At 46.6% G+C, this 20,779-nt stretch overlaps 1 long non-coding RNA gene across 1 annotated transcript; it reads right to left on the bottom strand.

The window, feature by feature from the left end:
• Positions 1-584: 584 nt before the first annotated feature.
• Positions 585-20,108, bottom strand: LINC00664 (long intergenic non-protein coding RNA 664). The gene is made up of 11 exons (NR_037194.1): positions 19,817-20,108; positions 17,670-17,718; positions 14,053-14,158; positions 13,309-13,420; positions 12,512-12,614; positions 9,976-10,557; positions 9,492-9,703; positions 8,616-8,729; positions 7,101-7,171; positions 5,474-5,624; positions 585-2,552 (listed from the first exon to the last, which is right to left on the bottom strand). It is a non-coding gene; the product is annotated as a long intergenic non-protein coding RNA 664 (long non-coding RNA).
• Positions 20,109-20,779: the final 671 nt, after the last annotated feature.

Here is a 20,779-nt window from a genome sequence, read left to right as displayed (position 1 = left end):
CAACATTGTCTTAGGAGACATCCAACTTCAAATCGGGAAAAAAAGAAAAGAAAAGTCAGTATCTTTAGGGTGTCCACTGTCAGAAGGTAACTAGTAATCAACCTGTCATTAAATCCTGGCATTCCATCTGCACAGGGTGCATGTATTAGTTAGCTATTGCAGCATAACAAACCATCCAAAACTTATTTGCTCGTAATTGAGATGGTCAGCCATTTAGGCTGGGCTCAACTGAGGTCCTTCAGACATGTATCATCAGCTGCCTTTTCACTATTTTTATTATTATTTGGGAAATTATTGTATTATTATTTATTATTATATTATTATTATTTGGGAAAATAGCTGTGGGATGATTTTAGAAAATCAAAGCTCAATAACATTATTTATTTTCATCATAAAAAATTTGAAAATTTGTAAAAGAAGAAAACTTTAGAAAAATTAAATTTAACAGTTTAAATGAGCAAATCATGATTTGCAAATCGGGTAACCTATGGATCCAGAGTAGGCTCAGAGAGACTCCAACACAGCCACATGTTGGTAAAATTTTTATGAACCAGAAAAGCAAAATGACATACAGAAAATGGAAGTGAGGTACAGAAACAGCCAGATTTATTACAGCTTAAGATATGTCCCATTTGAACATTAAGTTTACTATGTAAAAAAACAAAAAACAAAAAACAAATCCTATTAGCCAAAATTAAACATAAGAGGGAAGCTTTAGGCTACAACTAATTTAACAATTTCTCCCTTTTGTCATCTTCTCAAGTTTGAGACCAAAACTTTAGACATTAATATCACTTTGTCACCATCAAAAATGTACTTATTTAGACTCGAATCTCACTGTGAAACAGCAGAACTGTGGGTTTGTAAAGTGGAAATAAAAACTTCAGCTTATTATTTTGAAATTATTTTTATTTGTTTTTTAAAGTGTTAGAGTACAGGGGACCTCCTTGTGTTGAAATCTGCTATTTAGAGAAGAAAAACAAAACCTGGCCAGTTTTAGAATCTACCTGTTGCCTTAAATTTTTAGTTTAATTATGTCACATCCAGCATGAGTGACTCATTTTGGTTTGGTTTGTTTGGACCTAGTGCATAAGCTCAGTCCAGAATTATGGCCTCCAATAGTTTTCTTTAAAAAATTCCCCGTTTGGTTAAGTTCTTACATAGGTCACAGTGTAACCAAAACTCGGGGCTTTAGTGCCACTCTCAGTTTCCATTATTTTTGTTTTTTGTCCTTAGCATGTCATTCATAGGTTGTGCTGTCTTCATAGTCACATATGTCTTTGAGTTTCTGTCATTCCAGTTAAAGAGAGACCATTTGACATTCTACAGATGACTACATTCAAACGTTTACATCTTTTGAGAGAATACAGTGCAGTAGGAAGATTACCATTTTGACTATCAGGAGGATAATACCAAGAGTTTGAAGCATGCTTTTTAGCCAGGGTCCCCATGAACAACCAATTAAAGTTAAATAGATCAAATAGTTAGCTAGATAAATGATCTACTCATTTCATCTAATCAGCCTGTTCATGAATCATCTACAACTGCATCTCTGTAATACCGGCTGTAGTTCTCCATGGGCAACTATTAGCAACTGCACAGATATCTATTTATCCAGTAAGTAATCAAAAGAAATTATATTTAGCATAACTTTGTGAGAAAACTTAAAGTCTATTGTGTAAGCATAGTTTTTATGGTATAATCTGCTATAGAGCCCTATTGAGAGGGATAAATTTGTAACCATTGCCTCATTTACTCTAAACAGTGATACCCATTCAGAAGAGTAATGGCCTCCTGGCAATGCTCTTTAACCTATTCTGAATAAGTTCTTTTTAACTTATGAAATAGGTTAAGAGCAGTGGACCAATATTCTGTTTTTGATATTGTGAGAAAACAAATGTTTCATTAAAACTTCTCACCTACATTGGCCCTTCTTCTTTTACCTTTCAAGGAATAAGTTTCCTCATACATAATGTTGGCTGCAAAATTCTCTACATATAAGTATACCCCCATGAGTGCACACAAGAGACCACTTTTTAAAATTTCTGTGGTTTGTAGAACCATAAACAAACTGTGAACTAAGAGTGTCATGATAACGAGATGTCTTGATTTTTGATCTTGTGAAAAAAGCTATCTACATGGAGACGGCCATCTGCTTTTGAGGACAAACTTTCCTGGTTAGCTTTACCTTAAAATCTCCTATGGGTTTACAATTTCAAGAGTTTGGAGGGGCCCTTCTAAGTTGTGAGATTATCAATCCAATGTTCAAGGTCTTGAAGTCTTGCGTCAGTGTAGGTGGCAGGCAGATTCAATCTCTGGGTTCTTGATTATAAAGGGTTTTACTCTCCTCAGTCAGTAGACTAGTAAAGGCTTTCCTCACCTGGTGAAAATGTGCTTTGCCATAATGCATTAAAGCCTTGTTGAATTTAGTAATGTTAGACTTTAGTAGCAGAAGACACATGAGGTTCTATTACGCACATAGGCCTTCTAATGACTATTTTATAAGGGCCAACATACTTTTTCCACTCTAAGTGAATCTGATTGTCATCAATCTGCAATTACAAAAGCAATCCAGTCAATTTAGTTAGCTTTGCTCAATACTATTGTACCTGTAATACTGTGGCAGGCCAGACCTCACTAACAACTGTTTCAGTACTGACTGAGTGGTTAAGTTAAATATTAAAAGCCAGTGACCAGCCGGGCGCAGTGGCTCACACCTATAATCCCAGCACCTTGGGAGGCCGAGGCAGGCGGATCACAAGGTCAAGAGATCGATACCATCCTGGCCAACATGGTGAAACCCCGTCTCTACTAAAAATACAAAAAAATTAGCTGGGCGTGGTGGCATGTGCCTGTAGTCCCAACTATTTGGGAGGCTGAGGCAGAAGGATGGCTTGAACCCTGGAGGCGGAGTTTGCAGTGAGCTGAGATTGTACAGCTGCACTCCAGCCTGGTGACAGAGTGAGACCCCGTCTCAATTAAAAAAAAAAAAAAAGCCAGTGACCTTATACAAAGGCTGGGATGTAACAAAAGCCCATCAAGAGTTTCGCCTAGGCCTTTCTTGGGCCTTATAGGATTAAACAAGTTTTATTGGGGGTCTGAAGAAATTCCCCAGGCCTCTACAAACAGGTTTATTGGAGGTCTGAAGGAATTCACCAAACCACTGTGATTTAGCAGGAGACAAGATAAGGGTAATTACCCCAGCACCTGGACCCATTTAGATTAAGTAAATTTACTGAGGCTGCAGGGGAAGGTCTTCAAGACTCAGACCTTAGTTACAGATTAAATAAAAGAAGTTAATCACTTATCTCTTTAGATGAATGCACACTTACATGTAGACATATAGCTTAGAAGGTATATAGGCTCTGGAAAACGTTGTAATTTTGAGTTGGTCTGGTGATAATTTCCAGGCCTTCTCCCTGTAACTGGTTGCAGAAATAAAACTCTCTTCCTCCCCAGTTCATCTGCATCTCGTTATTGGGCCATGAGAAATAGCAGCCCAACTCTCAGTTTGGTCCAGGAACAATACCTTATTTAACAGTTTTACAACTTGTCTAGTGAAATAAGTATCTTGATCATTAGAGACCTTTCAGAAATGTCCCATGAAAAAAAAACATATTTTCTAATATTCTTTTAGCTACTATTATAACATCAGCCTTCTTGCATGAGAAAGCTTTTATACTATCAGAAAACATGCATTAAAAATGACAACTGTATAAAATTTCTGTATAAATGCTTAAATAGCCTATTAGGTAACAGAAATGTACATAAAGTATTGATTGTTTCTCAGAATTATATGTTTGACATAAAAAAATTGGCCTTAATCTGTTTAGTAATTTAGAATAATCACCACACACACACACACACACACACACACACACACACACACACACAAACTTAATTCATATTTAATTTAGATTATTTTCTGTGATGAGTAATGGAATGCAGAGCTTTTAATAATGGAAGCTTTAAGAAATCAAGAATAAACAAATGGCTTGGTGGCTGTCTAGATTCTTTATGAGTCCACACTTAACATTAAATTTATGTCCTTTTTTTTTTTTTGAGACAGAATCTCCCTCTGTCACCCAGGCTGGAGTGCAATGGTGAGATCTCGGCTCACTGCAAACTCTGCCTCCTGGGTTCAAGCAATTCTCTGCCTCAGCCTCCCGAGTAGCTGGGATTACAGGCACCTGCCAACACACGTGGCTAATTTTTGTATTTTTAGTAGAGACAGGGTTTCACCATCTTGGCCAGGCTGGTCTTGAACTCCTGACCTTGCGATCCACCCTCCTCGGCCTCCCAAAGTGTTGGGATTACAGGCGTGAGCCAGCATGCCCGGCCGCTTATTTTTTCTTATTTTTTGAGACAGAGTCTCGCTCTGTCACCCAGGGTGGAATGCAGTGGCATGATCTTGGCTCACTGCAACCTCCACCTCTCGGGTTCAAGCAATTCTCCTGCCTCAGCCTCTGAAGTAGCTGGGATTACAGGCACCCGCCACCATGGTCAGCTGATTTTTGTATTTTTAGTAGAGACAGGGTTTTGCCATGTTGGTCAGGCTTGTCCCAAATTCCTGACCTCAGGTGATCCACTCCCCTCGGCCTCCCAAAGTGCTGGGATTACAGGCATGGCCACCGCACCCCACCTAGTGTATCTGTTTAGACAGAATAAAACAAGGTATCTATTCATAAGTAACAAATATAGGTTAATAGAAAACTCAAACACAAATATAACTAATGCTATATCTTTCAGAATAGCCCATTCTAATTATTTCATTTCTCATTTGCTAAAATTCAAATCAACTTTTTTCATAATTTTACAGTGTATCTTAATGTCAGAGGCATTTAAACCAGAGTGACTCTATTTTGAATAGTGGCTGGGCAAATTGAGGTTGAGACCTACAGGGCTGCATTCCCCGGCAGTTAGGCATTCTTGGTCACAGGCTGAGATAGAAGGTTAGCACAAGATACAATGCACTTAGCAATTTGTCACAATCTTCTCTGTTAGCAGGGTACAGGCAGAAAAGAAGGGTCACATATTTAGGTCATGTGTCATAGGCGGTCATAGCAGAGATATGTCATTTGTGGGAATGGTCAAGAAAGGAGCTCCCCAACTGCTAGGTGTTGAGCCCAGCTATACATCACAATACCCAAAATATGTGAGGCCCAGAAAAAAAGGAGAGCCACATCACCTAGGTGCTGGGTCCAGCAATATGTCACAATCACCCTTTTTGGCAGGTTCCAGTCAAAAGACAAGTCACAAAGTGATGAACAAAAAGATATGTCATAATACCCTTCTGAACAGAGCCTATGCAGGAAACTCATATTACTTATGTGCTGGGTCCAGTGATAGGGTCACAATCCCCCACCTTTTACAGGATTCAGGAAGAAAAGGAGAGTAACATCACTTAAGTGATAAACAAAACATATGTCATACATCCCCTATTAGCAAGGCCTATGCAGGAGAGTCACATTACCTAGGTGTTGGACCAGCCGTATTTCAACAGACACAATGTAAGCAGGGCCTAAGGAGGAGAGGAGAGTCACATCACCAAGGTGCTGGGTCCAGTGATATGTCACAATCACCCTTTTTGGCAGGTTCCAGTGAAAAGACGAGAGTCATAACACCTAAGTGAGGAACAAATGATATGTCATAATACCCTTCTGAACAGAACCCATGAGTTAGAGTCATATTACCTGGGTCTTAGACCCAGTCATATATCAGAATACACAATGTATGCAAAGCCCAGGGGAAAAAAAAAAGTCACATCTCAGGCAGAGCCCAAGCAGAAGAGAGTCACATCACCTAGGTTCTAGGTCAAGAAATGTCACAGTATCCTCTGAGAAAAGAGCCCTGGCAGAAAAGTCACATCATCTAGATGAGAGCCCCAGAGATATGTCACAATGTCCCCTGTGAGTAGTGTTGGGAACAGGCCCCCAAATCTGGCCATAAACAGGCCCCAAAACTGGCCATAAACAAAATCTCTGCGGCACTGTGACTTGTTAATGATGGCTATGACACCCATGCTGAAAGGTTGTTGGTTTACTGGAATGAGGGCAAGGAACATCTGGCCCACCCAGGGCAGAAAACTGCTTAACGCGTTCTTAAACCACAAACAATAGCTTGTGAGATCTGTGCCTTAAGGACATGTTCCTGCTGCAGATAACTAGCCAGAGCCCATCCCTTTATTTCCCACAAGAAATACTTTTAATCTGTAATCTATAGAAACAATGCTTATCACTGGCTTGCTGTCAATAAATATGTGGGTAAATCTCTGTTTGAGGCTCTCAGTTCTGAAGGCTGTGAGACCCCTGACTTCCCACTCCACATGCTATATTTCTATGTGTGTGTGTCTTTAATTCCTCTAGCTCCGCTGGGTTAGGGTCTCCATGACCTAGCTGGTCTTGGGAGAGTAGGGCTCAGGAGGAAGAGAAAGATCACCTGACTTAAGAGCTGGGCCCAACTACATATCACAACCAACCAGTGGGCAGGGCCAAAGCATGAGAAAAGAGTCACATCACATAGGTGCTGGGCCAAGTGATATGTCACAATTCCCACTGTGGACAAGTCCCAGGGAGAAGAAGAACGGGACCAAGAGATATGTCACAATAACCCCTGTAGACAGGGACTAGGCAGAACAATTACATAGCCTGTGGGCTGATCCCAGGGATAAGTCACTCTCTTTTATGGGAGCATGGCCATGGAAGGAAAGAAGCGTCACATTATCTAGATGCTGGGCCCTGTGATATGTCACAATCTCTCCTATAGGAAAAATCCAAGTAAGAGAGTCACATCACATAGACGATGGATTCACAAATATGTCACTATTCTTGTTGGGCAAAAGGTGTTGACTCTTGAGCAAGGTTCAGGCAGAAGGATCACATCACCTTGGTTCTGAGCCCAACAATATGTCACAATGCTTGATGAAAAGAAACGCCAAGGCAAAAATGTAACATCACCTTGGTGTTCAGCCCAGCAGTATGTCACAATGTACACTGTAAGCAGAATATAGGTAGAAGAGTCATATCAGCTAAGGCACTGGGCCCATTGATAAGTAACAATCCTTTCTTTGAACAGGGACCTGGGAGAAAGAGTCACGTTACCTGGATGATGAATACACAGATAGATCATAAAGCTTCCTGTAGGCAGGACCCAGCAAGGAGAGTTACATAACCTGGATGTTGCAAATGGCAATATGTCACAATGACCCATGAAGGCAGGGCACAGGTAGGAGAGTCACATAACCAGGGTGAGGGGCCCAGTGATATGTCACAATGTCCCATGTGGGCAGTGCCAAGGCAAAAGTACAGAGTCGCACCACCTAGTGTTAGGTCCAGCAATGTATCACAATCTGATCTGTGGACTAGGCACCAAGCAGAAAAGTCAAATCACTCAGGTGCTGGGCAGAGGTGTATGTTACAGTCACAGTTGAAGGAAAAGGTAGGGATAAAATTAACAATCCTGCTGGGTGTGGTGGCTCACACCTGTAATCCCAGCACTTTGGGAGACAGGCAGGTGGATCACATGAGGTCAGGAGTTCAAGACCAGCCTGGCCAACATGGTGAAACCCCATCTCTACTAAAAATACAAAAAATTAGCCAGGCATTGTGGTGGGCACCTGTAATCCCAGCTACTCAGGAGGCTGAGGTAGGAGAATCGCTTGAACCCAGGAGGCAGAGGTTGCAGTGAACCGAGATCGCACCATTACACTCCAGCCTGGGCAACAAGATTGAAACTCCGTCTCAAAAAAAAAAAAAAAAAAATTAACAATTCCACACATGTCCCATTTCTAGGTATTAGAGTCAACACCTTTTGTATGTTGAGTCTGAATACACAAGTCACAATCTCAATGGTGGACTGGATACCTGCATGACAGCCTCAATCTTTGCAGTGGACTGTGTCCCCTTAGTGGACTCACAGCCTCACAGATACGCTGAATCTTGGTCTGAGAGTCACCAGCCCACATGTGGACTGAATCCATGTGTGAAAGTCAATTTTCCAACTTTTGGCTATCTCTAGGTGTGAGATTCAGAACTTCAACAATGAACTGTGTTCATATGAAAAGATGACAATCTTTACTGTTGGCTGAGTGTGTGTATGAGTATCACAATGTCACCTGTGTGCTGGGCCCTGTTACAAAACTCTCTGTTACCATCTGAGGGCTTTATACAATATGCATGATAGTCACAATTTGCTCTGAGAATTCTGTTCTAGTATGAACTGATAATCGTAGCTATGGACCTAAGCCCATGTGTTAGAGTCAACATCTCTCTAATTGGCTAGGACCAGAGAGAAGAGTCCTCATCTGCCTATGAGCTTTGTTTTGAAATGAGTCAACATCTTGACTGTGGTCACATGATCACATATGACAGTCACAATTTTTACTGTGGACTGCATCCACGTGTGAAATTCAGGATCTTTCCAGTGAGCTCTGTCCATGTGTGAGGGTGTTGGTAGGTTTGCCAACATTTGGTAGGTTGTTCATATGAGAAACACAGTCTCACCTGTGTGCTTGACCCTGTGATGACACTCTGTACCATCCAAAGACTTTATACAAACTGTGAAAGAATGGTTATGCTTTATAATGTTCTTACCTAGAGAAGACCCCAATAATTTACCTGTTTCTCTAAGTTTAGCTACAAGTGCCAGTATCTCTCCTACTGACTGATTTGTCAGTATGAGTGTCATTATCACAACTGTGAGCTGGGCTAAAGTATATGTCACAATCCAACCTGTGAGTAGAAAGCAAATGAGAGAATAACATCGCCTGGGTGCTGGGTCAGGAATATATCACAATTTTTCCAGGGAAGAAACCAGGCATATCGCCTGGTTGCCTGGCCAGGGTTCTGTTGCCCTAAAATTCCCTCCTGAAAGCAAGGCACAGTCATCAAAGTCACATCACTTGGGTAGTGGGCCCAGCTATGTCTCTCTGCAGGCAAGGCCTGGGCACAAAAGATATACCACCTGGTTGCTGAACCCAGAGATGTGTCACAATTTTCTGTATGGGCATGGTGCAGATGGAAGAGAGTCACACCTCCAAAGTAATGGATGCACAGATATGTAACAAAGGCCTCCTGTGGGCCCCTAAGTTCTTGGTCCAGTAATATTTCACAATACCCCCTAGGCATAAATGTCATATTACCTAGGTGAGAGGCCTAGATATGTCACAATGCCCCCTGTGGGTAGGGCTTATAAACAGGAAAGTCACATTACGTAGCTGTGGGGATCAGCTTTATGTTCCAATCACCCCAGAGGGAAGGGACCAGGCATGAGAGAAGAGCCACATCACATAGAAGCTACGTCAAGCGATATATCACAATTCTCACTGAGGACAAACCCTGGAAGAGGAGAGTCATATCATCTAGGTGATGGGCCCAAATATATAGCACAGTGACTCCTGTGTGCAGGGAACAGGCAGAATAATTACATCACTGGTGTGCTTGGCCCAGGCAGAAGAGGAGTGTCACATCACATAGGTAAAATAGGGCATTTACCTGGGCTTTGTCCATAGGAGAGATTGCAGTGGGTCAAGAAATATGTCACAATGCTCCCTGTGGTCAGGGTTCAGGCAGAGGACTCACATCATCTTGGTGCTGGGCCCAGCAGTGTGTCTCAATGCCTTCTAAGGACATAGCCAAAGCAGAGAAGTAACATCACCTTAGTGTTAGGCCCAGCAGTATGCCACAATCTCCTTTGTGGGCAGAACCTAGGAAAAAGAAAACAGTCACATCAGCTAGGAGCTGGGACCAGCAATATGTCACAATTACCCCGTTGAGTAGAGAACAGGCAGCAAAAAGAAAGTCACACTCCCTAGGCCAGCGACCATGGCTCACGCCTGTAATCTGAGCACTTTGGGAGGCCAAGGTGGGCAGATCACCTGAGGTCAGGAATTCGAGACTAGCCTGGCCAACATGGCGAAACCCCTTCTCTATTAAAAGGCAAAAATTAGCTGGGCGTGATTATATGTCATAATCTTACCTGTGGATAGAGAGTGAGCAGGAGAGATACGTCATCTGCATCATCTGGTTGCTGGGCCAGGGATATGTCACAATCTTCCCTGAGAACAGGCACCAGGCAGAAGACTTATCACCTGGGTGCTTGGTCAGAGATATGTTACAATTTCCTCCTGAAAGCAGGGGACAGGCAGTAGAGTCCCATCACCTGGGTGCTGGGCTCAGTGATATGTCACAATGCTCCCTGTGAGCAAAGCTCAGGCAGGAGAAACACATCGCCTGATTTCTGGGCCAGAAGATACATCACGGTCTCCCCTATGAGCAAAGCCTTGGTATAAAAGGAGAGTCACATCAAATAGCTGATGCTCCCAAAGATATGTCACAATGCTCTCTGTTGTCAATGTCCACACAGGATCTCTCGTCACCTTGTTGCTGAGCCGAGCAATACGTCACAGTGCCTTTAAGGTCTGGGCCAAGGCAAAACAGTAATGTCACATTGGTGTTGAGCCCCACAATATGTCCCAATCTCCCTTGAAAGCAGGACTTATGATGAATAGAACAGTCACACTTGCTTGGTACTGGGCCAAGTGATATGTCACAATTCCCCCTGTGAGCAGAACAACGCAAAAGAAGAGAGTCACATCACCTGGGTAATGGGTGAAAAAAATACCACAATGTTCCTTGTTGGCAGTAGAGTTACATTACCAGGGTGTTGGACCCAGCAATATGTCACAATGTGGTGAGGGCACAGGCATGAGAGTCATATAACCTGGATGTAGGCCCAGAGATATGTCACAATGCCCCAGTAGGCAGTGCCAAGGCAGGAGAGGAGACTCACATCAACTAAGTGCAAGGTTCAGTGAGATGTCACAATGTCCTCTACGAGCAGCACCAAGACAGAAGAAGAGTCACATCCCCTCAGTTCTGGGTTCAGCAGAACTATCCCACCTGTGGGCTGGTCCCAGACAAGACAGTCAGATCACTCAGGTGCCTGGCATAGAAAAATGTCACAATTGGGCCGGGCACGGTGGCTCACGCCTGTAATCCCAGCACTTTGGGAGGCCGAGGCGGGTGGATCACCTGAGGTCAGGAGTTTGAGACCAGCCTGACCAACATGGAGAAGCCCTGTCTCTACTAAAAATACAAAATTAGCCCTGCGTGGTGGCACATGCCTGTAATCCCAGCTACTCGGAGGCTGAGGCAGGAGAATCACTTGAACCCGGAAGGCGGAGGTTGCAGTGAGCCAAGATTGTGCCATTGCACTCCAGCCTGGGTGATAAGAGTGAAACTCCATCTCAAAAAAAAAAAAAAGAAAAGAAAAATGTCACAGTTAAAACTGCAGGAAGGTCCAGGGATGACATTAACAATCCCACACATGTCCCGGTGTTAACCTCCTATATGTTGTGTCTAAGAACAGGAGTTACAATCTCAACGGTGGATTGAACTTGTGCACAACAGCCTCAACTCCTTCTGCACGCCACGTATAAATAGTAAAGTCACAGCCACATAGGTGTGCTGAATCTTGCTCTGAATGTCACCAACCCACCTGTGGACTGAATCCACATGAGAGTCAAGTTTCCAGCCTTTGACTGCCTATAGGTGTGAGATTCAGAACCCCAGAAGTGGGCTGTGTTCATGTGGGGAAATGATGATGTATACTGTTGGGTGGGTGTACATACAACTGTCAACATCTCCCCTGTGTGCTGGGCCTTGTTAATACACTCTCTATACTACCCAAGGGGCTTTATGTAGTATGAATGTGGGTCACAATTCACTCTGACCCCTTCATGTTTATATGCCCCCATGACCATACCTGTGGCCCTAAGCCCAGGTGTGAGAGTCAACATTTCTCCAATTGGCTGGATCCAAATAGTAGAGACCTCATCTGCCTATGATTTTGAGTTTAGAAATGTGTCACCATCCCAACTGTGGCTGGATGCTCACATATGACAGTCACAATTCCAACTGTGGACTGTTTGCATGTGAGATTCAAGACCTCAGCAGCGGGCTCTTTCCATGTGTGAGGGTGATAATACTAATGGTTGGTGAGGTTTGCTGTGCCCTGTGATGACACACTCTAACACTTGAGGGCATTATACTACGTGTGGGGGTGTGGCAATCTTTTATAACCTTCATACAAAGAGAGACCCAGGATGTCGCTCATTTTTCTGAGCTATGAAAGGTATTTCTTCTTCTTTTTTTTTTTTAGATAGAGTTTCGCTCTTGTTGCCCAGGCTGGAGTGCAATGGAACGATTCTCCTGCCTCAGCCTCCCAAGTAGCTGGGATTACAGGCATGCGCCACCACGCCCGGCTAATTTTTTTTGTATTTTTAGTAGAGAAGGGGTTTCTCCATGTTGGTCAGGCTGGTCTCGAACTCCTGACCTCAGGTGATCCACCCACCGTGCCTGGCCAGTATTTCTTCTAATAGCTGACTTGAGGCATGAGAGTCATCATGACATTTGTAAGCTGACATGAGAGTCATCATCACACTTGTAAGCTGACCACAGCCTATGTCGCAATTCTACTTATAAGAAGGGAGCTAGCAGGGGAGTCACATCACCTGGATTTCAGCCATGGATATCTCATAATCTGCTGAGGGAAGAAGCCAAGCAGGAGTGTCACATCACCTGAGTGCTCAGCCAGGGATATGTTACAATTCTGTCCTGAAAGCACAGCACAGGCAACAGAGTCACATCACCTGGGTGCTGAGCTCAGCGCTATGTTACAATGCTCCCTGTGGGCAAGACAGAGGCAGAAGAGCCACATCACCTGGTGTCTGGTTCCAAGGATATGTCACAATCATTCCTGTGCAGGGCAGGGTGCAGGCAAAAAATAAATGTCACATCTTCTAGGTCATGGGTGCAGATATATGTCACAAGGTCCCTGTGGGCAAAGCCAAGGTAGGAGCATGCAATCCCATAGGTGGTGGGCCTAGTGATATTTTACAATACCCAAAACATGAGAGGCCCAGGCCAAACAAGAGAGTCACATCACCTAGGTGCTGGGTTCAGTGATTTGCCATAATCTCCCACTTTTTGGCAGGGCCAGGCAGAAGAGGAGAATTATATCACCTAGATGATGAATGAAAATATATGTTGTAATACCTCTGTGGGCAAGTCCCATGCAGGAGAGTCACATCACCAAGGTATCAGGACCAGCCACATGTCACAATATGTGCAAGAGGAACCAGGCAGGAGAGGAGAGTCACATCACCTAGGTTCTGGTCCCAGCAATATATTACAATCCCTTCTTGGGAAAAGCCCAGGAAGTAGAGGAAAGTCACGTCACCTGGGCACTAGGCCCAGTGATGTCTCAATGCCCTCCGTGAAAAGCAATAAGGCAAGAGAATAGACTCACATCACCTAAGTGCTGGGTCCAGCAATGCGGCACAATCCCATCTGTACGCTGGGCCCAAGCAGAAGAGTCAAATCACTCAGGTGCTGGGCAGAGGTGTATGTAACAATCACACCTGCATGAAGGTCGAAGCATAAGATTAACAATTCCACACATTTTCTTGTTCTAGGTATGAGATCTAACACTTCCTGTATGTTGAGTCTAAGTAAATGAGTCACAATCTCAATGATGGTCTGGATCCATGTATAAGAACCTCAATCCCTCCTGCAAACTGTGTCCCCTTAGTGGAGTCACAGACTCACAGGTGTGCCGAATCTTGGTCTGAAAGATGCCAACCCCCGCATGGAGCGAATTCACATATGAGATTCCATTTTCCAACATTTGACTGCCTCTGGGTGTGATATTCAGAATCTGAATTGTGAGCTATGTTTATATGGAAGGATGAAATATTTACTGTTGGCAGGTCATACATATGAGTGTCACAACCTCACCTGTGTGCTGAGTTCTGTTAGGACATCCGCTGTACCTTTTGACAACTTTACACAGTATGTGAGAGATTCTCCATGACTTTCACACGAAGAGGAGACCCAAGATATTACCCATTTTCCTAACTCTGGCTATGAGAGACAGTGTATCTGCTATTGGTTGTTTCAAGGTATGAAAGCAATCATTGCACCTGTAAGCTGGGCCAAGATATGCATCATAATCCCACCAGTGAATAGGGACCGACCAGTAGACTCACATCACCTGGGTTTCGGGGCAGTGATATGTCACAATCTTCTCTGAGGGCAGGGACCAGGCAGCAGTGTCACATCACCTTGGTGCTCCATTAGGAATATGCTACAATCCCCTCCTGAAAGCAGAATACAGTCAGAAGAGTCACATCACCTGAGTGCTGAGACCAGAGATATGTTACAATGTTCTCTGTGGGCGAGGACCAGGCAAAAAAAACAAATCCCCTGATTGCTGAGACCAGTGATTCGTCACAATCCCTAGTGGTCAGGGTGCAGACAGAAGAGGGGAATTAAATCTCCCAGATAACCCCATCCAATGGGTGTTGAACTCAATGATATGTCACTATACCCAAAATATGCCAGGGACATGGAAAATAAAATGGTCACATCATCTAGGTGATGAAAAAGAGGTATGTCGGCCAGGCACAGTGGCTCATGCCCATAATCCCAGCACTTTTGGAGGCCACAGTGGGCGAATCACCTGAGGCTGGGAGTTTGAGACCAGCCTGACCAGCATGGAGAAACCCCGTCTCTACTAAAAAAAAATAAAAAATTAGCTGGGCATGGTGGCACATGCCTGTAATCCCAGCTACTCGGGAGGCTGAGGCAGGAGAATCACTTGAACCCGGGAGGTGGAGTTTGCCGTGAGCCAAGATCACACCATTGCACTCCAGCCTGGGCAACAAGAGCGAATTCTGTCTCAAAAAAAAGAAAAAGAAAAAGAGATATGTCATAATACTTCTGTAGGCAGTTCTCATGACATAAAGTTGCATCACCTGGGTGCTGAATCCAGGTATATGTCACAATACACAATGTATGCAGGGCTTAGGCAGAAGAGAAGAATCACAACAGCTAGGTGGTGGGCCCAGAAATACATCACAATCCCTGCTTGGGCAAAGCCCAATCCATAAAGGAGAGTCACATCACCTACGTACTGGGTTCAGCAATATGTCACCCTACCCCTTGTGGGGAGGGCCCATGCAAGAGTCACATCACATAAATGATGGGCCCAAAAATATGTCAAAGTTTTCACTGTGGGTAGGGCTCAGGAAAAAAAAGAATCGCATGACCTAGGGGCTGGGCCCAGCTATATGTAACAAACACCCCAGTTTGCAGGGCCCATGCATGAGAGAAGAGTCATATCACCTAGCTGCTGGGCTCAGTGATATGTAACAATACTTTTTTGGCAGGGCCCAGGCAAAAGAGGAGTGTCACATCACCTAGGTGATTAATAGAAAGATGGCTCATAATACCCCTATGGGCAGGCCCCATGCAGGAGAGTTGCGTTATCTAGGTGTTGGACCCAGTGATATGTCTCAATACACACTGTATGGAGGTCCCAGGCTGGAGAGGAGAGTCACCTCTTCTAGGTTCTTGACAGAGTGATATGTCACAATCCCTTTTTGGGTAGAGACCAAACAGTAGAGAAGAGTCACATCACCTAGATGCTGGGCTCAGCAATGTCACAATATCCTGAGAAGAGGGCCCAAACAAAAGAGTCGCATCACCTCATTGAAGGTCTCAGAGATATGACACAATGCCCCCTGTGGGTAGGGCTCAGGAAGATGTGTGGAGTCACATAACCTTGGGGCTGGGCCCAGCTACATGTCAAAATCACTCCAGTGGGCAGGGCCCAGGCATAAGAAGAGAATCACATCATGTAGGTTCTGAGCCAAGCAACATGTGACACTCCCCACTGTGGACAGGTTCCAGGAAGAAAAGAGTCACATAACCTCAGTGATAGGCCCAGATATATGTCACAATGACTTCTGTGAGCAGGCAGAAGAATCCCATCACTTGTGTGCTGAATTCAGCAATAAGTCATTCACTCTTCAGTGGGCAAGGAAGAGGCAGGAGAGGAGAGTCACATCACCTATGTGTTGGGCCCAAATTTATGTCACAATCTCTTTTTGGGCAACATCCAGGTAAGAGAGGAGAGTCACATAAAATAGTTAAAGGTCCCAGAGATATGTCACAATGCACCTTGTAGGCAGGGTCCAGGCAGGAGACTCACATCACATTGGTTCTGGGCCCAGCAATCAATCACCATGCCTTCTAGGGGCAGTGTCAAGGCATAAGAGTATGTCAGCATAGACTGCTGCCATCTCGGCTCACTGCAACCTCCCTGCCTGATTCTCCTGCCTCAGCCTGCCGAGTGCCTGCGATTCCAGGCGCGTGCCGCCACGCCTGACTAGTTTTCGTGTTTTTTTGGTGGAGACGGGGTTTCGCTGTGTTGGCCGGGCTGGTCTCCAGCTCCTAACCGCCAGTGATCCGCCACCCTCGGCCTCCCGAGGTGCCGGGATTGCAGACAGAGTCTCGTTCACTCAGTGCTCAATGGTGCCCAGGCTGGAGTGCAGTGGCGTGATCTCGGCTCGCTGCAACCTCCACCTCCCAGCCGCCTGCCTTGGCCTCCCAAAGTGCAGAGATTGCAGCCTCTGCCTGGCCGCCACACCGTCTGGGAAGAGAGGCGCATCTCTGCCTGGCCGCCCATCGTCTGGGATGTGAGGAGCCCCTCTGCCTGGCTGCCCAGTCTGGAAAGTGAGGAGCGTCTCTGCCCAGCCGTCATCCCGTCTAGGATGTGAGGAGCGCCTCTGCCCGGCCGCGACCCCGTCTGGGAGGTGAGGAGCGTCTCTGCCCGGCCGCCCTGTCTGAGAAGTGAGGAGACCCTCTGCCTGGCAACCGCCCCGTCTGAGAAGTGAGGAGCCCCTCCGCCCGGCAGCCTCCCCGTCTGAGAAGTGAGGAGCCCCTCCGCCCGGCAGCCACCCCGTCTGGGAGGTGAGGAGCGTCTCCGCCCAGCAGCCACACTGTCCGGGAGGGAGGTGGGGGTCAGCCCCCGCCAGGCCAGCCGCCCCGTCCGGGAGGTGAGGGGCGCCTCTGCCCGGCCGCCCCTACTGGGAAGTGAGGAGCCCCTCTGCCCGGCCACCACCCCGTCTGGGAGGTGTACCCAACAGCTCATTGAGAATGGGCCATGACGACAATGGCGGTTTTGTGGAATAGAAAAGGGGGAAAGGTGGGGAAAAGATTGAGAAATCAGATGGTTGCTGTGTCTGTGTAGAAAGAATTAGACATGGGAGACTTTTCATTTTGCTCTGTACTAAGAAAAATTCTTCTGCCTTGGGATCCTGTTGATCTATGACCTTACCCCCAACTCTGTGCTCTCTGAAACATGTGCTGTGTCCACTCAGGGTTAAATGGATTAAGGGCGGTGCAAGATGTGCTTTGTTAAACAGATGCTTGAAGGCAGCATGCTCGTTAAGAGTCATCACCACTCCCTAATCTCAAGTACCCAGGGACACAAACACTGCGGAAGGCCACAGGGTCCTCTGCCTAGGAAAACCAGAGACCTTTGTTCACTTGTTTATCTGCTGACCTTCCCTCCACTATTGTCCTATGACCCTGCCAAATCCCCCTCTGCGAGAAACACCCAAGAATGATCAATAAAAAAAAAAAAAAAAAAAAAAAAGAGTATGTCAGCATAGTATTAGGCCCAGTGACATGTCACAATATCCTCTTTGGGCAGAACCTAGAAAGAAAGAGGCAGAGAGTCATGTGAGCTAGGTGCTGAGCCCAGTAATACATCACAATCCCTTCTGTAAGCAGGAGCCAGGCAGGAGAAGAGAGCCATATTACCTGTGTGATGGGTGCAGGGATATGTCACAAGATCTTCTGTAGGCAGGACCTAGGCAGTAGAGTTACATCACCTGGGTGTTGGACTCAGCAAAAGTCACAGTGGCCCACATGGGCAGGGCACAGGCAGGAGAGTCATATAACCTATGTGTGGGGCCCAGCCATATGACACAATGTCCCCTGTGGAAGAGCCAAGGCTGGAGAGAAGATTCACACCACCTGGGTACAAGATGTAGTGATGTCAAAATGTCCCCTGTGGGTAGTGCCAAGGCAGTAGAATAGTCACACCACCTCGGTACTGGGTCCAGGGATATGTCACAATCCCTTCCATGGGCTAGGCCAGGGCAGGGGCACCAAATCACTCTGGTGCTGGGTAAAGTCATATGTCATAATGACACCAGCAGGAATGTTCAGACATGAGATTATGCATCTGGACTGGAAAGAATCAACACATCAAAAACATGACCAGACCGTGCACAGTGGCTCACACCTGTAATCCCAGCACTTTTGGAGGCCACGGAGGATACCTGGAACCCAGGAGTCCAAGACTATCCGGGGCCAACATGGTGAGACAGCATCTCTATTAAAAAATAATAATTAAAGTTAAAAAAGAAATATATATCCAGAGCATGGACAACATAGCAAGATCACATCTCTACTAAAAAGATGATACAGGCTGGGTGCCAGTGGCTCACGCCTGTAATCCCAGAACTTTGGGAGGCTGAGGTGGGCGGATCACAAGGTCAAGAGATCGAGATCATCCTGGCCAACATTGTAAAACCCCATCTCTACTAAAAACACAAAAATTAGCTGGGCGTGGTGGCGCACACCTGTAGTCCCAGCTACTCGGGAGGCTGAGGCAGGAGAATCACTTGAACCCAGGAGGTGGAGGTTGCAGTGAGCTGAGATCATGCCACTGCACTCCAGCCTGGGTGACAGTGTGAGATTGTCTCAAAAAAAAAAAAAAAAAAAAAAAAAAGATGATAGATAGATAGATCAGAAAGACAGAGACAGAGCCAGCCAGATAGACAGAGCTGGACAGACAGAGAGAGATGATAGACAGATAGATAGATAGATAGCCAGCCAGCCAGGCAGGATGGTGCATGCCTGTAATCCCAGCACTTTGGGAGGTCAAGGCTGGTGGATTGCTTGATCACAGGAGTTCGAGACCAGTCTGAGAAACATGGCAGAACCTCATTTCTACAAAAATAAAAAGTAAAAAATGCAAAATAAAGAGCCAGTGTGGTGGTACGTGACTGTAGTACCAGCTACTGGGAGAACTAAGACGGAGGATCCCCTGAGCCCAAGGAGGTCCAGGCTGCAGTGAGCTGTGATCACACACCTGCACTTCAGCCTGGGTGACTAAGAAGACCTCATTTAAAAAAACATACACACACACACACACACACACACACGTATGAAAGAAGAAATTTAAAACAGCAACTTCAGTGTGCAGGAAGGTGCTTAAGAGAGAAAACAAAACAAAACAAAACAATAGTAACTCAATGTACCGTGGAAACAAACTCAAAGTGGGGCTAGAAAAAAAGAAAAAAAAACCCAGAAAGATCCCGAGCCTCAGCTACTCTGGAGGCAGAAACAGGAGGATGGGGCCGGGCATGGTGGCTCACACCTGTAATCCCAGTGCTTTGGGAGGCCAAGGTGGACGAATCACCTGAGGTCGGGAGTTCCAGACCAGCCTGACCAACATGGAGACCCCATCTCTACTACAAATACAAAATTAGCTGGGTGTGGTGGCGCACGCCTGTAATCCCAGCTACTCAGGAGGCTGAGGCGGGAGAATCGCTTGAACTCGGGAGGTGGAGGTTGCAGTAAGCCGAGATTGCCCCATTGCACCCCAGCCTGGGCAACAAGAGCGAAAACTCAAAGAAAGAAAAACAGACAGAAAGAGAAAGAGAAGAGAAGAGAAGAGAAGAGAAGAGAAGAGAAGAGAAGAGAAGAGAAGAGAAGAGAAGAGAAGAGAAGAGAGAAAAGAAAAGAAAAAAGAAAAGGGAGGATGACCTGGGTGAGTCCGGGCAGGTGGAGGGCGCGTGAGCCGTAATCGCACCCTCTGCTGGACCTAAGCGGTACTGCCGCGGGCGAGAGCTATCTAGTCCGTCTTAAACATCTCAAGCTGGAGGCCAAACCCTAACCTTGGGGCTGACATCTGGTCGACCCAGCGGCTGGACAGAGAAGCCAGCCGGTGGCGAGGGCAGAGGCCCACCGGGTCCACACTACGCGCCAAGTGTGGCCGAGTGTGGCGCGCGGGGCCTGAGCCCGTCCGTCTGGAGTATAACTCCGCCAACCTTCCTTCCCAGCGCTCTCCCACACTGTCTGCTGGTCCACTAAGACGGGGAAGAGCTCAAGGGGGGGCGACCGGCCCCTACTCCCCGCCGACCCCTCCTCCCCGCTGCTGAGTGGGAGAGGCCCAGGACCTGGACCGCCACTTCCAGACCACACAGCCACCCCTGAAACGGGGGCTGCCGGGCCACACCCTCTGACGCCCGCGCCTCAGCCATCCCACCACGCTCCCACAGCGGCGTCCCAGCCAGGGCGACGAGCCACCCGCAGGGTGGGAAGAGGAGGAAACCAGAGGGGGTGGACACCAAGCAAGGGAGCCCCACGAACCTGCGGCACCCTCAGAGCAGCATGTGGCCCCTTCGGCGCTCGGAAAGCCCACGGGCGGACCCTTCCAGGCTCTCGGAAGATGGCACAGGACGGTCCCTGATTCTCCATGGGGACTTGGGAAAAGAAATCGGCCAGAGCCTCAAACGGCCAGGACACACATGGGCCCGCAACCGGGCCTGGGGGGTGTCCCCGGCCCCCTGCATCATGCCTGGTGGGTTCCGAGGGTCGGGCCTCCGCAGCTGCGGTGAGCTGGGGACCAGCCCGGGCAGCCCCACACTAAGCTCATGCCGGGAGCACGGTAACAGCCTCCCCTCCACAGCCCTACACGCCAGAGCTATGACTCACAAGGGACGCGCCAGAGCTCTGGCACCATCGGGACTGTTCTGCTGAAGTCTGCAGGACTCCCGAGCTCTGCTCAGCTCACAGCGGGGGCTGTCCCTCCCTCGGCAGCTGCCACTGGAGCTCCAGAGGACAAGAGAACTCTAGAA

The sequence above is a fragment of the Homo sapiens genome, chromosome 19 (genome assembly GCF_000001405.40).
Source record: "Homo sapiens chromosome 19, GRCh38.p14 Primary Assembly".
Taxonomy (NCBI): Eukaryota; Metazoa; Chordata; class Mammalia; order Primates; family Hominidae; genus Homo; species Homo sapiens.
The sequence above is the reverse complement of the archived record's forward strand: the minus strand, read 5'-3'. Positions and strand labels throughout refer to the sequence as shown.